Genomic DNA, 14,689 nt, shown 5'->3' with positions numbered 1-14,689 from the left:
TGTTTCCCAGGGATTTTGCAGTACAGCTGAGACATGAACCAAAACTCTTTTTTTTTTTTTTGAGACGGAGTCTCTCTCTGTCCCCCAGGCTGGAGTGCAATGGCGCGATCTTGGCTCACTGCAACTTCTGCCTCCCGGGTTCAAGCGATTCTCTTGCCTCAGCCTCCCAAGTAGCTGGAATTACAGGCATGCGCCACGAGGCTCGGCTAACTTTTGTGTTTTTAGTACAGACAGGGTTTCGCCCTGTGGGCCAGGCTGGTCTTGAACTCCTAACCTCAAGTGATCCACCCGCCTTGGCCTCCCAAAGTGCTTGGATTACAGGCGTGAGCCACTGCGCCCAGCCATGAACCAAAACCGTTGATCAATGAGTGTCCCCAGACCACAATGTGGGCAGTTTTCATGTCACCCTGGGGACAAATACAAAAGCTATTAGGGGTTTGGGAAAATCTTGGCCTTTCTCAGAACTGCTGTCACACGGCAGCCACCAGGGGGCGATAGAGCTCTGCCTTCCTGGCAGGCCTAGGCAGGTGAGGGTGGGACATGGGTTTCAGGGAGCCCTCCCGGGCCCTGGTTCTGCTGACATAAGGGGCTGCTCTTAGAGGATGGTGGGATGGGGACGTCGAAGGGGGCCTGGGTACAGGGTAGAGGCTTGTGGAGGACCTGGAGACTGGGTACAGGAGTCTGGGGTGTCCTGGGGGTCTGGTACAGGGATGGGGACCTGGTGGGGGAGGCTGGGGCTGGGTACAGCATGGAGCCTGGTCTCAGAACCAGGTACAGGGAAGGCAGAGGCCTGCCATTGCCTGCCTTCCCCTGGGGGCCTGGTACCCACTCCTCACCTCCTGTTCTGCCCCTGCCCCACCATCCCGCAGTAACTTCAAACCCTCTGTTTCCCCCTACCCCAGCCTTTCACACCAGTTGGGCCCCACATCAGCTCCAGAATTGTGTCCCAGAAACTTATGCTGCCTTTGGGCCAAAAGTCAAAGCCCCCAGCCTCTCCGTGTCCCCTCCCCTCCAGCCTATATGCCCCCCAGTCCCCTGCACCCCCCACCCACGTGGTGCCCAGCGGGGCCTCCCGGCTCTCCACCCTGCTGACCAGCCTCAGCCTCCTGCAGGCCACCTCTCCTGGGCCCCTGGCCTGGCCTAGGAGTCTTTCCACCATCCCTCAACCCCCTTTGTAGAATTTGCCACCCCTTCAGGCGCTGTTGCTGGTTTGGTTCTGCCCCAGCCAATCCAGGGTCTAAATGGGCGGGGACCTCCCCATCTCCCAAATCCCTGTGTCTGGGAGCCCCAGGCCGGAACCAGTGTTGGGCACCAACAGAGGGCAAGGCTGAAGACCCACTCCCCACTATGGAGCTGGGCACACTGAGGCCCCGAGAGTGCCCGAGGCGGATGTGGGGACAGAGCAGCAGTGTGCACAGTGGGGCGGGTGTGGGTGAGGAAGGAGCCGCCGACACAGACTTATCACAGAGCAGGGAGCCCTGGACAGATGCCGACAGGACAGGCAGGCAGATCAGCCAACTGAGGAGGGACAGGGGCTGCCTCAGGGGACCCCTCCCCCGACCCGTACAGCTGACTGCAGGGCCCTGGGCACAGCCTGGCTCCTGGCCTACCTGTGGTGGCTCATAGGGCACCACGACGCTCTGCCTGCCGGTGACAGGGTCATCCACATACTGCGAGAGATTATTGCCTTCCACGCGGATGAGGTGGCTGGCTGGAGCAGACTGTCCTGCCGGGAGGGGTCGACACTTCAGAGAGGTGCATAGAGGTGCCCACCCCTGTGCTAGGTGCAGAGAGGTGCCCAGCCCTGTGCCGGGTTCAAAGGGTGCCCAGCCCCATGTCAGGTGCAGAGAGGTACCCAGCCCCGTGCCAGGTTCAAAGAAGTGCCCAGCCCCATGTCAGGTGCAGAGAGGTGCTGGCCCCGTGCCAGGCACAGAGAGGTGCCCAGCTCTGTGCCACCTGCAAAGGTGCCCACCCCTGTTAGGTGCAGAGGTGCCCAGCCCAGTGCCAGGTGCAGAGAGGTGCCCAGCTGCATGCCAGGTGCAGAGAGGTGCCCACCCCGGTGTCAGGTGCAGAGATGCCCAGCCCCATGCCAGATGCAGAGGTGCCCAGCCCTGTGCCAGGCACAGAGAGGTGTCCAGCCCCATGCCAGGTGCAGAGAGGTGCCCACTCCTGTGCTAGGTGCAGAGGTGCCCACCCTGTGCCAGGTGCAAAGAGGTGCCCAGCCCCATGCCAGGTGCAGAGAGGTGCCCGGCCCCATGCCAGGTGCCCACCTCTGTGTCACATGCAGAGAGGTGCCCAGTCCCATGCCAGGTGAAGAAAGGTGCCCAGCCCCATGCCAGGTGAAGAGAGGTGCCCAGCCCTGTGCCAGGTGCAGAGAGGTGCCCACCCCTGTGCCAGGTGCAGAGAGGCGCCCAGCTGTGCCAGGTGCATCGCAGCAGAACTGAGACCACCAGGCCCAGTCCTGTGGGCTTCCAGGTGAGGCTCAGGCCAGCTGGCAGCCCTTGTGCTCTGGGGGTGCCTGCCCAGTGGCTCTGCCCCCTGATTCTCCTGCTAATCCTTGGGGTAGCCCGTAGGCCCTGCCAGGCACACTGGAGAGAGGGGCTATGACTCATAGGATCTCTGGGGCCCCAGAAGGCCGCTGCCCCTCAGACTCTGCCCAGACCACTTGCCCCTGCCCAGGAGCATGGGCCCCCCCAGGTCCCACTCAGAACTGGGAAAATGGGGGCTGGTGGAGGCACTGAAAGCCCTCCGCAGGGGAATGGCTAAGCCCATGCTGTCAGCCCCACTCTCTCCCAGTTAGGCAGCCCCCGGCTGTGCTGTCCGGGATGCTGGGCAAAGTGCCACCGTGGGCAGAGGAGCTGGGGGCCCTCACCTTCGTTGAAGTCCCTCCCGAGCTCGTGGTTGGGGCAGCGTTTCACGACGTCGGTCACGTGCTCCGCTTTCTTGTAAACAGGCATGGCCCGGATGGCGGTGCCTGGGGGTGGCGGGGTGGACACCTTGATCTGGATGGGGCATGTCTTGGCGATCTGGCAGTAGAGTTTCTTCAAGAGCGGGGAGTACTGGAGTGGGGGAGAGGGAGCGGGTGAGACCAGTGGTCCCAACTGCACCCCTGTCCAGGCCACCCCCCATTGGGAGCCACGTCCTCCCCATGGGTGCCCCTTCCACAACCCCCAGATGAAGACTGCCCCAAGCAGCCCCTCTGCTGAATCCCTCCAGGTGTCTGTCCTTTGAGGCGTGAATCCAGGCACAGCTGCCCTGGCACCCACTCCACAGCCATCGGGTCATTTGGGCTCCATGACAGCAGGGGTGTGAGTGCCGGTGGCAGTCAGGCAGAGAGGCTTTAGGTTTATGGATGGGGACAAGAAAGGCCAGGAGAGCAAGAAGGGGCTGCTGGAGAGTGAGGGCGGGAACGGGGGCTGGGAGCCAGGCCTGTGGAAGCCATGTCCCTGACTGCGGCATTTTGAAGAGGTGGGTTTGCAGCATTGAATCTGTTTTTAAGACCAGAGCTAGGCTTCTCTGGCATTTGCACAGAGCAAGTGGTTAATGTGTGATGGGCTGGTTGCCCACTATGCATTCAAGCTTCCATAGAGAGCTCTCTGGGTTGGTGTGAAGGCCTCTCATGGCCTCAGCAGCCCTGGTGACTCTGACACCCTCTCCTGCTGGGGCCACCAAGTCTGAGCAGCCGAGCTGTGTGGCTTGGTCTTGGCCACTCTGGGGGCCCCTCTGGGCTCACAGCCCCAGTATCCCCAGCTTGGGACTCGAGGAGCTAATAGGTCTGTCTGGAGCTGGCGTGGGCCCTGCTGCAGGAGGACTGGATGACACCCTTCCTGAGCCAGCCCCTGCAGAGGCCTCCAGCTTCTTTGCCTCACAGGGCCCGGCTGCCCATCTGAGGACCCAGGCCGGCTCTCATGAGTTCTAAAAGTGACCCCGCTGAGGCCGCTGCAGGGGCGTCCACTCACTTCCAAGCTGGCTGATTTCCCAAGCGTCTGGCTCCTGGTCACCTGCTGGGAGTCCTCATGCTCTCTCCCCAAAGGGCCATCAGGAATGATCCCCAGTCTCAGGCTCAGAGAATGACTTCTGCTGCCACCCCATGCCCTCTGTGCCCCTCACCAGCCCCCGATGACTCAGAATCACAAGTCACTGCAGCCGCAAGTGCCCTGGAGAATGTCCCATCGCACTCCACCGTGGAACAGTTGGGGAAACTGAGGTCAGAGACAGGGAGCTACTGGCAGAACCAGGGAAGCTGCAGGTGGAGTCTTCCCTTTGCCAAGGAAGTTAGGGGGCCCTGACCCCCTGACCCCCACTGGCCACCAGTACTGCCTCTCTGGCCATCAAGGGACATGAGGGGCTCTCAGGAGCCACATAGGTCCTTGGCAGGTGCAGGCACACGAAAAGCCAGGAAGGAAAAAGGAAAGAGACAGGGGAGATGGAGCTGACGGAGGCTGCGAGCCATGGTGGGTGGGGCCTGGGTCCCCGGCACCCTGAGTGCCCTTGTTCCTGTGCAGTGGGAGCGGTCCCCTCTCTGGTGAGCTACTTGGGCTCCCCGAATGAGACCCAGCCAGGAACGCTGGTCTGTCCCTGCCATGGGTGTGAGGGGGCTGGAGGGACAAGTGGAAGGGGGTCCTTCAGTGGCCTCCTCAGGATGGGAATTGGATACCAAAGAGCTGGCCCCTCCTAGGTCCTCCGTCCACCTGGAGCCCCTGGAGCCAGAGTGGCTCCACTGCCCCTGCCTGCGACCCCCACCTTGGGCACAGGGCCTTAGGCAGGAAGCCGCCCATCCCCAGTCCTGTTTAAAACACAGGAAGGAACCATCATGCACAGCCCTGCAGGGGAGGCTGGGCGCTGTTTAGAAAAGCAGGAAACGGGCTGAGGGCGGTGGCTCACGCCTGTAATCCCAGCACTTTGGGAGGCCAAGGCAGGCAGCTGAGGTCAGGAGTTCGACCAGCCTGGCCAATATGGTGAAACCCTGTCTCTACCAAAAATACAAATATTAGCCAGGCAAGGTGGCGGGCGCCTGTAGTCCCAGCTACTCAGGAAGCTGAGGCAGGAGGCAGGAGAATCGCTTGAACTCGGGAGGTGGAGGTTGCAGTGAGCCGAGATCGCACCATTGCACTCCAGCCTGGGTGACAAAGTGAGAATCCGTCACACACACACACACACACACACACACACACACACACACACACACAAAGAGAAAAAAAGAAAAGCAGAAACAGCCTTGCAGAGCTAGCAGCCCACCCCTGTGCGGGCGCCTGCCCTGGACTGTCGGAGCTGCAGGCTTGGGCACAGCGGGAAGTACAGCAGTCTCCTTGTTGTGGGGTCAGTCTGGCTTCCCTGGAGGTGACCACTGATGTACAGTGTCCCCACCATTACAAATGCCCCCTTTGCTCCCCACAGCATCACTTGGAAGGATAAGCAGGTAGCCCTGCCCCCAGGGCACATGGGAACAGCTCGCAGCACAGACCCTCTGGGACTCGGACCCTCAGGAGACTCAGACAGGGAGGGCTCTTGGCCCAAACTTGCAGTGGCCTGTGTCCAGGCACTGGTCTCTTGGACAAAGGCCCTGCCTGAAGCTACACACCACGCCTGGTCTCCATCTGTGCTGGTTGGGGACAGAAGGAGGAGGGGCCAGGTGGTGGCAGGCTCTTGTCTGCCAGTGCCCCGAGCAGGGGAGAGGAACACAGGGCCGGCAGCCGTGTCGCCAGGCTTCTCCGAGGCCAGGGCAGCCTGCAGGGCGAGCTGCCCATTGCTGAGCATTTATGGAGCACCTCTTGTGTGCAGAGCACACAGGCCCCCTGGAATTCAGGCACCTGGCTCTGTCCCCCTCGTCTCTCCTCAGTAACGTGTAGCAGATGGAGGTACACAGGTGGTACTCAACAAATGCCATCCATCCTAGCCGCTCCCTAGGGAAACCACAGAGCAGGGAGGGCGCGGCAGACCCCCCTTGAAACAGACCCCGGCCGGGGTGGCTCAGGTCAGAGTCTCAGGGGCGGCAAAAGGAGAAGGGCCTCTGAGGTCCGGCCCTGTGGGTGGCAGTTTTGGCTTTGTGCTCGTCAGCTGGGATGCCTCTAGCCACTGCACAAGCCTCTCCACCTGCATCTCTGACTCACTGCGTGTCCCCTGGGAACACAGTGGCCTGCAGGTGTTAGTGGCTACTGCGCCCTCGTTATTCTCAGCACCAGGTGAGGAGGTGTTGGTTGCGGGGGGCTGGAGCCACACAGGCCCCGCTTCCCTACAGTTCCCTTTCCGGGGCTGAGTCCCCCGAGGCTTCTTCCACCCTAGTGCCACAGCCCATGGCCTGAGATGGGGGTCATTAGATCCACCAAGGAGCCCCAGACACTCAGGGGGAGGGGAGGCCGCCTGGGCTCCTCAGCCAGTTGGACACAGATGGAGTAAGGCTCTGGGTGCAACCAAGCCTGCGGGCAGAGGCCCCGGCAGCCGTCGCTCCCTGACAGCCCCATGGAGTCTCAACAGCGTGAGGGGTTTCACAGCTCCTGCCTGGCCCCTGCAGCCCCTCCCCTAGGCCCCTGCCCCAGCACCCCCGGCCATAGTCCTCTGCGGAGCCTGAGCTCCCGCCCGCCTGGGCCTCAGGGTCAGCAGTGCTCCCATTTCGCAGACCTAGGCAGCGGCCTCTCAGCAGCGCCCTGCTGAGCCCGCCCCACTCCCTCTGGGTCTCCGGGCAGGGTGAAGTGGCGATCCTTGCTCTGGAAGCTGCGTGGTGGGGCGTCCCAGGCCAGGGCGCTACGAAGTGGGTGCAGGGCCCAGTGCGTGCTCCCGTCTCTGCACTGTCTGAGGGACTCCCGTCTGCAAGAGGTCCTGGGGGCCCAGGCGCGGGGAGCACTGTGGATGCCCCGCCCCGCCCCGCCCCGGGGAGGAGCTTGGGCGCGCCGGGAGCTGTCCCTGGTACTCGGTGCAGGCGGCGGCCGGACCACCCACCCCGGGAAGTGGGGGCTCGGACTGGAGTGTGGAGCGGCCTAGAACGGACAGGTCTTCGACCTGGGCCAGTGGCGGAGGGAGGCCCAGGCCTCAGGGTGGAGAGCAAGGAGGCCCCTGTCCTCAGGCGATGTGAGCACTTCTCCTCCCCTCTGGCCAGTAAGGCCACCAAGGTCCTGGGCCTGGCTCTCCTCCCCACAGGTGTCCCCAGTGCAGTGCTCACATGGCCTTTGGGGCATACATGCCTGGCAGACCTCACCCTGGCACTAACTGGACCCCAGGTGCCCAGCCGGGCCGGAGCTGGGTGGCCTCGGGGAGGATGTCTGTGATGTCCCCTGCCCTGGCAGCATCTGGGGGTGGGTGACACAGGTGGCCACAGGAGGGAAGGGAGCCCTGAGAGATCCAGGTCCTTCTAGAGGGTGGCTGAGCCCAGGACGGCTCCAGCGCTCCCCCAGCTCCTTCCTCCTGTCTCCCCAGCAGGCCTCTAGGCTTCAGGCCTGGGCTTGGCCCTGTGGAAAACGGGCAGGAGGAGGAGGACTCCGGTGGAGCCTATTCTATAGGAAAGGTCACGTGGAGACACTTCCCCTCCGCCGCCCCCCTCCTGCCTTCTCCTTCCCTAGAACCGCTAGATGGATGTGTTTCAACAGATTCCGAGCTGATAAAATCGTATTTATCTTCGGCTGTTGACACGGAGCCGCCTGGACTTGCCTGCCCAGGGTGCGTGCACCGTCCTGCTTGCAGGAAAGGGTTTGCCCAAACGCCACTGTGCCCATCCCTCCCCACGCTGCCGGCTCCTCTCCGACCCTCCTCTCCTTCCCCTCCTCCCCCGCCCCAGTACAACATGGGCCCGGCCTGGCTGGGAGCCCTGGGCCTGGCAGGGCTGGTGCGGGGGTGGGTGAGGGGAGGGTGCAGCGGGGGGCTGCTAATTTCCTTGTGCCCGCTCCTCGCTCCCCGGCAGCTGGGTGCCCGGCACGGGCAGGTTTGGGCAGGAGGACAGCGGAGAGGTGATAATAACTTGTCTGTCATTTTCCTGGGACGTGTAGCATCTTGCAAACCGCAAATACCGTTAACCAGCGTGGGTGAATCTGTTGCAACAGATTCTGGAAGATGGGGCCTGCAGTGGGGGCTTTTATTTTTTAAACGATTTTTTTTATTGCTCACTTTTATCCAGTTCCCTTGCTTGTGTGTGCGTCTGTGTGTTTAGGGGTGCATCTCTCTCCTCTCTGGGGTTACGGGCCTCTTTGAGCCCACCCTCTGCCAAGGCCCTGGACCCTTCCTCTCCCTAGAAAAGCTCCTGGGGCTGAGCCACAGAACCCTTTCCATTAAATTCGTGGGTTCACAGATGGACCCCCTAAAACACATGCCTGAGCCAGGGTCAACAGCCTGTGGATTAGGGTCCTCCTGGGTCCCTTTCTCCTTCTGAGAGAGGAAGGGTATCCTCAGGTGGCAGCCACAGGGCCCCCTTGGTGACAGCCCCCTTCGTGGGAGGCTGTGGCCTTCACTGGTGCACAGTCACTGTCGCCCTCAGAGAGCTGCTGGGAGCACAGGCTGGGCTCTGACAGATGTCAGGGAGGCCTGGCAGGATGTCACAGGGCTGGTCCCTCCCTGCCCCAGGGAAGCCACTAGCCTGGGGAGGGGGAAAGGACACATGTGGCAATCGCCCCTGTTTCAGAACACCTTGGTGTTAAGCTGGGGCTCCCATGGTCGAGGCAGTGACGGCTCACTCACCAGGACATCCACAGCCCATGGGCCAGGCAGATGAGAGGCCCAAGCGAGCTTCAGAATGCCTGTGAGGCCACAGCCAGTGCCAGGCCCAGCGCTGCCCAAGAAAAGAGGCTGCTGTGAAAGAGCTCCTGGCTGGGGGGGCTGCAGGAGACAGATGTGTCTGCTGGCACCCCCATGCTGGCCAGCCGGGGCTCCCAGGCCAGGAGCTCTATGGAGGATGAACCAGAGGCAGAAACATCCTCTGCAGATGCCAAGCGATCCTCAGCCCTGACGGAGGCCTGCTAGAGCCCCAGAGGCTGTGGACAAGAAACTGCTCACTGGGGAGGGCAGGCCAGGGGCAAGTGGGAACCCTGAGGAGCTGGGCAGTCTGCCCCACCACGACCTTGAGCCATGTCCTAAACAGGTGAGCAGGAGCCACACGGGGGACTCTCAACGGCCTGGAAGCGCGGCTCCCTGGGAGACACTGAGTGCACCCAGACCACAGGAGCTGGAGCCTGCTCGATCCTCGTCCCATGCACGGCTGCCTCTAGGGATCTCCATCCTGGGCTATGATCGGGGTAGGGGAGGGAAGCAGGTATGTGCTGAGCCCAGGATAGACTTGGTGGCTTTGTCTCCAGTGCATAGTGAAGGCCCAGGGGTCCAGTAGGAGACGAGGGCCACAGGCAGAGGAGATAAGAGGGGCCTAGTGTTGGGGGAGGCTGCGAGGCAGCGTTTGCCCAAGGTGTCTGCCTCTGTTGGTGTGGAGACCTGGGGAGACAGTGAGTGCTGTCCACCTGCCAGGGAATGGGGCACCTGGGTCCACCCTCATGGCCACATCCACTGCCCACTGGTGCCTGCCCTGCGCGGGGCCCTCACCTGACCTTGGCCCTGGGAGGTCAGGCACTGTCACTCCGTTTAGTGACCCAAACCTGCCTGCTAAGCTGGGGTGGACCAGCACCCAGACCATAGCTGTCTGACCCCCAAGCTCCATCTCCCAGCCCTTTGTCACTGCTGGGCTTGACTTGGGTCCTGGGGCCTGGGGTCGGGGTCTAGGCAGAGACCCGCCTTAAGCACCCCTGGGTTCCAGGAAGACGGCACTGCAGAGGCGTCACCCCTGGGTTCCAGGAAGACTGGGCACTGCAGAGGCGTCACCCCGGGTTCCAGAAAGACGGTACTACAGAGGTGTCAGGTGGGACATGGGCTTCTTACCCCGTGGCTGGACTTAAGCCCCTTAGGGGTAAGGGGAACAACAGCCAGGGGCCTCACCTGCCCTGGTCCTGCTGGGGATGGGTCTCCATGGACAATAGAGACTGAGACTCACACAGACTGCCTTGTGTCTGGCTGGGATTGGGTGGCCCAGCCTGGACAGCTCCAGCCTCCACTTTGCTGCCGAGATGCTGTGTGAGGAGCTCAGGGCCCAGTCCCCACCCGGTCGCCGCTGTCCTGATTCACTGAGACCGCGTGCGGGTGCCCTGTGGCTGCTACTATCACTGTCACTCTGCCCAAGCCCGGGAAGGAATGAGCTGCCCAGGCAGGGCGAGGAACTCCATCTGCTCTTATTCCAGGACCCAGGTACCCCATCTGGGGCCTTGGGGACAGAGGGGGTGGCAGGGCAGTGCCCTGGGTCCGCAGAGACAAAAGCTGGGGCTTGCAGAGGGCCCCGGAATGCCCACCAGCAGCTGCCCCTCCGCTCTGAAGACACAGAGTGTTCAAAGCACCACACTCAGCCTCTGCCCTGGGCCGGGACCAAGCGCAGGGTCCTCTGCCCGCAACTTGCTTTTTGACAGCGCCAGCTGGAGGGCCCGTTGCCAGTAGCCTGGCCTCTCCTCCGGCCTCTGGCAAGGACCTAGCTAGCGGGACTGTGGGCCAGGCCCTGGAGCTGTCCCACGAGGGGCCCAGCAGGCTGGCAACAGGCCTGCTCTGCTCACTGCAGAGAGGGCCCCTTAACTCCTGGGGAGGAAGCCCCCACCATCCTTGCCCCCACCATCCTCACCCCCACCCTGACTGGTGGCTTTGAGGAGAAGCCAGGATTAACCCAGCCTTTTGAGGCCCGGCTTTGTCAGCTGTGGGGATTGGAAGGGTGCCCCAGGGTCAGTGGGTGCCCTCTGCTCACAGGACAGTCCCGGAGTCTCTGGCCACAGCTTCCTGGGACAGCCTTGGGGGCTGGAATTGGCAGCAGCTGGAGGTGGCCGGAGACAGCGGAGGGAGGGGAGTAAGCTGTGGACATGGTGGGGTGGTCCCTCTTCAGCTTTTAAGGTAATAGTTGGCTAGAATCTAGGTTTTTGCTAAACTTTGTAAATCTTCATTGAAATGCCTGGGGGAAGGAGAATTTTGGCCTCCGAATCTCTGACCCCTGCAGAGAGTGGTGTCTCCCCAACGCCAGGTGCAAGGAGCTGGGTGCCTCGCTCCAGTGGCATGGCTGGGGGAGGGGTGGGTTTGCAACCCTTGGGGTGGCTCTGGGCTTTAGGTAATCCCCCTGTGCGGTTTCCCCATGGGCTCTGACTTCTGCCTCACTGAAGCCTGGAGTGCTGTTACCTTCTCCAAAAGGGTCTTTCTGCCCTAAAATGCCCTGTTCCGCTCACGGCCTCTGCAGCCCCATCGTAACCCCTGGCTGTGGACACCAGCCTCGGCCGCCACGTAATCTCTGAGCCTCACGCTGTCCGCCTGGAGTGCAGAGAAGATGCTTTTCTTTCCAGCCGGGACACCCTGGAATTGTCTGTCCCCCTCTTCCTGAGGCTCCTCGGAAAAGGGACAGAAGGTCTGGAGGTCGCTCAGGGCCTTCTCTACCCAGAGGCAGGGGCTGGGCCTCCAGGGTCCGGGTCTCCAGGGTCCGTGGCTTCAACTTTTGGAATCTCAGAAAATCCCAGAAGTGACCACTGGCCTGGGGTGGCAGAAACCCACCAGACCGGGAAGCAAAACTAACTCACTGCCCAGCTGAGCCCCCCACCTTGCCCCGAGTCCCACACGGCCCAAGGTCCAGGTCACCTACGACCGCATCTTGGCGTCAGCACTGGGTCCAGGAGAAGCCTGGGACGGCCCTCCCCTGTGGGCCTCTCTTTCCCCCTGTCAACGGGAGTTAGTGGCAGTGAGGCCAGGCCTGGGAGGGGTGAAGGCAGAGGGGGCAGGGAGGCACCAGGAGAGGCCGGTCCCCAAGCCCAGCTGCCTGGCTTCTCGCCCATGAGGCTCGCCAGCCTCGGAGCACTCCAGTGATAAAGCGTTCTTGAGGGATTTTCCTTTGTCAACAAAACCAAGCAGTGAAAGCAGACAGGGACAGCTCTCCACCCCCAGTCCCAGTTTGATTCACTGGCAGACAGCAGTGGAAGGCTCATGGGGGCCAAGGTACAGCCTGGGCTCCCCCCACACCCCATTCGGTCCAAGGCTTTCTCCCCTAGGGACAGGCAGGTCCCTCTGAGGTGTCAGCACCTCCTTATCACTGGTTCCCCTGGGGGCCCTGAGGGTCACAGGGACCTGCCCCACAGAGCTGGGAGCAGAGGGTGGGGCAGGGGGCAGGGGCTGCTCGTGGGGACCTGTCCAGGGACCTGTAGGGGCCGGGGTGGGGCACCACACGGGCTGCAAGGGCAAGGTTAGGGGTCTGGCTGCTGGGGCCAGGTCCGGCTCTGCCCTCTGCTGACAGGTGACCCTGGTGTGCCCTCTGGGAGCCTCAGTTTCCTCATCTGTAAAATGGGGAGTGTGGGAGGCCCTGCACATAGGGGCAATGCTGCTGCCAACGCTACTAATCAGACATGCTGGGTCCACAGGGCTGTCCCCAAACTGGAAAGAAGTCCTAGAAAATAGATGATTCTTCCTAAAACGTAAATTGGATCATGCCTCTCCCCCAACAGTCTCATGCCTATGGAAGGGAATCCTGTCCCCCAAGGGGTTCTCCCTCCTGTCTCCTCCAAGAACCAGGCAGTGTGGGGTGGGGCAGCAGGACCCAGGGTCTCAGAGCTGGGGCCTCCCCAGCCTCACTTGGGGCCTCCAAGGCTAAGTTCTGTGACCTCCAGGGCCCAAGAGTGAGTTCCTCTGGCTGCTCCAGAAAGTGAAGAGAGAAGAGCCAACCCCGGCTCGGGCCACGAGCCCCGAGGCGCTGACCACAGCCAGAGCAGGCCTGCTGGAAGCTCCGTCCCTGCTGCAGATCCCTGCGCCACATGATATCAGCAATTGCTGCAATTTCGCCCTAAGTACTCTTGTTTCCCCTAATAATCCACGTTTCATCTCCACAATAAACATTGTTAGAACTCTTCCCTCAGCTTTACGCACATATAATTGCTTCTGGTGCCAGTAAAAGGTATTAATTCCACTCATGCATTCCATAAACTTTTAGGATAATGCAATTGATACCATGATCGTGTTGGGACACCTCCGCTATTATTCTCCTGCTTGCAAGCCTCCGAGGCGCTGGGAAGGTTGCTCCAGACCCATTAGTGTTGACTCAGCCTCATTCTCCCCAGGAATCCCGTGCAGAGCCTTTGTGCTTCCCTGGCCGTCCTTCCATATGTCCCTCCTGGACGGGGGGCTTTCCTACCCGTGGAGCCAGCTCTCCCCTAAGACAAACATGTGTGCACATGCTCGCGCACACACACACACACACACACATACACACGCTCGCGCACACACACACGCTGAGTCTGAGAGCAGCTGGAGGGCACTCAGGGGGCTGTGTCCGGGCCATCTTTCTGTCTGGAGGAATGCTGGGGCAGCTGGCCATCGCACCTGTGTGTGTCCTCACCATCCTGCCATGGCAGCCTGCCTCGTGGGCTGTGGGTGGTGTCACTCAGCATGCCCTGAGGTGCCCACAGATGCTGTGCTGGGCCAGGGCTTCCAACCCCACACTGCCTTCTTGCCTGACCTCAGAGCCCCGTCCCCAAACTTCCCAAACACCAAGGACAGCCACCTTCCCTGATGAGGCTGAGCTGGGGGCAGAACGGCTGAGCCGGGGTGTCACAGCATCCGATGCCCATCGCGTCGGGCTGTTCTGACAGCTAGAGGAACTCCTGTTCATTCTCTGCCCCGAGGGCCTCCTGGAACCAGCTGTCCACACCACTGCCAACCTGCAGGGCTCCCAGGACAGGAGTGGCCAGCAGGGCTCAGAGGCCAGGTCATGCATGCCCTGCAGAGAGCTCTGCCCACACTCTGAGCCCACACTGTCCCACAGAGGGTGTTGAACTGGGAGAAGGGCACTGGTGTCACCATCAGCACTGCACTCAGAGCTCACGTGTGTGGAGCGCTCCCCAGGTACCCTGCCCTGACCTAAGAAGTCCCAAGAGCCAGCTCCTTTGTCCCCACCATGGCTGGCAGGCCATACCTCTCTTTGCAGGTGAGGATGCCAGGGCAGAGGGGCGAAGCAGAAGGTGCTCACGGGCAGCTCTGGGATTGGGACCCCAGCAGACGCCAGCTCCACCCCTCTCACCATGCAGGGTCCCTCTCACCAAATGCCGGCCTTGCCCTGTCACTGGTCACTGGTTACACTCTCGTGGCTAAACACAAATCCTTCCTCTGGCTGCTCGGTTACCCACGACTCGCCTCCTCCTCCTCCTGGGTTTCCATGGGGTGGGAGCTACTAGAACCCTGGGCAGTGATGGGGGGAGGCCTGTGCATGTACACGCATGCCTGTGTGTTTACATGTGTCTGCGTGTGCATAAGGTACTTGTGTATCCACGTGTGTGCATGCATGTGGGAGGGTGCTGTGTCTGTGTGTGTGCACATGCGTGTGTATGCACACATATGCACAGACCTGTGAACCGCAGCCTCCAGACCTCTCAGTGCCCAAGGAGATCTGAGGTCTGATCTGTGGTCACTTGGGGGCTGGTGAGGGTGTTTTTCCTGATCGGGGAGAAAGGAGGGCGGCAGCCAATGTGGACTTGTACTTGAGAAAAATATGAATTATCTATCAGTTACCAGCCGGCTGGCGTGCCGGGAGCCCCAGGAGTCACGGTGCAGAGGCCGGACGCAAGCACAGGCAGCAGGGCTGGGCAGCACCCGCATGGTGGGACCCCAGAGCTGGGAGCAAGCGGGCTGCCCGGCGGCCCCGTTCTGCACTGTGAGCCGACCA

The 14,689-nt window shown here is 61.7% G+C and overlaps 1 protein-coding gene and 1 long non-coding RNA gene across 16 annotated transcripts in view, besides 6 other annotated features; one reads left to right on the top strand and one right to left on the bottom strand.

The window, feature by feature from the left end:
- TP73 (tumor protein p73) overlaps positions 1-14,689 on the bottom strand; it is an 83,686-nt gene that overhangs the window by 11,122 nt on the left and 57,875 nt on the right. For all 15 annotated transcript variants that reach the window (NM_005427.4, NM_001204184.2, NM_001204185.2 and 12 more), the window contains 2 exons: positions 2,873-3,059; positions 1,611-1,726 (listed from right to left, as the gene is read on the bottom strand). In NM_005427.4, coding sequence (NP_005418.1) covers positions 1,611-1,726; positions 2,873-3,059 — 303 coding nt within the window. The remainder of the gene's footprint in view (positions 1-1,610; positions 1,727-2,872; positions 3,060-14,689) is intronic.
- Positions 3,302-3,860: an enhancer, noted in NCBI's record as "H3K4me1 hESC enhancer chr1:3637784-3638342 (GRCh37/hg19 assembly coordinates)". NCBI's record gives its function as "activates a minimal SCP1, AML or CMV promoter by ChIP-STARR-seq in primed H9 embryonic stem cells {active_cell/tissue: H9 hESC(primed)}" and the evidence as "EXISTENCE:reporter gene assay evidence [ECO:0000049][PMID:30033119]".
- Positions 3,861-4,420: an enhancer, noted in NCBI's record as "H3K4me1 hESC enhancer chr1:3637224-3637783 (GRCh37/hg19 assembly coordinates)". NCBI's record gives its function as "activates a minimal SCP1, AML or CMV promoter by ChIP-STARR-seq in naive H9 embryonic stem cells {active_cell/tissue: H9 hESC(naive)}" and the evidence as "EXISTENCE:reporter gene assay evidence [ECO:0000049][PMID:30033119]".
- Positions 4,421-4,979: an enhancer, noted in NCBI's record as "H3K4me1 hESC enhancer chr1:3636665-3637223 (GRCh37/hg19 assembly coordinates)". NCBI's record gives its function as "activates a minimal SCP1, AML or CMV promoter by ChIP-STARR-seq in naive H9 embryonic stem cells {active_cell/tissue: H9 hESC(naive)}" and the evidence as "EXISTENCE:reporter gene assay evidence [ECO:0000049][PMID:30033119]".
- Positions 6,100-6,659: an enhancer, noted in NCBI's record as "H3K27ac-H3K4me1 hESC enhancer chr1:3634985-3635544 (GRCh37/hg19 assembly coordinates)". NCBI's record gives its function as "activates a minimal SCP1, AML or CMV promoter by ChIP-STARR-seq in naive H9 embryonic stem cells {active_cell/tissue: H9 hESC(naive)}" and the evidence as "EXISTENCE:reporter gene assay evidence [ECO:0000049][PMID:30033119]".
- Positions 6,660-7,219: an enhancer, noted in NCBI's record as "H3K27ac-H3K4me1 hESC enhancer chr1:3634425-3634984 (GRCh37/hg19 assembly coordinates)". NCBI's record gives its function as "activates a minimal SCP1, AML or CMV promoter by ChIP-STARR-seq in naive H9 embryonic stem cells {active_cell/tissue: H9 hESC(naive)}" and the evidence as "EXISTENCE:reporter gene assay evidence [ECO:0000049][PMID:30033119]".
- Positions 10,247-10,486: a silencer, noted in NCBI's record as "fragment chr1:3631158-3631397 (GRCh37/hg19 assembly coordinates)". NCBI's record gives its function as "represses an EF-1alpha promoter that drives an FKBP-Casp9 reporter gene in an ReSE screen in phorbol 12-myristate 13-acetate-treated (for megakaryocytic differentiation) K562 erythroleukemia cells {active_cell/tissue: K562(+PMA)}" and the evidence as "EXISTENCE:reporter gene assay evidence [ECO:0000049][PMID:32094911]".
- TP73-AS2 (TP73 antisense RNA 2) lies at positions 10,782-12,880 on the top strand. Its single transcript, NR_185884.1, has 2 exons — positions 10,782-10,893; positions 12,642-12,880. It is a non-coding gene; the product is annotated as a TP73 antisense RNA 2 (long non-coding RNA).

This window comes from Homo sapiens, chromosome 1, assembly GCF_000001405.40.
Source record: "Homo sapiens chromosome 1, GRCh38.p14 Primary Assembly".
NCBI lineage: Eukaryota > Metazoa > Chordata > Mammalia > Primates > Hominidae > Homo > Homo sapiens.
This window is presented reverse-complemented; position numbering and strand designations above follow the sequence as displayed.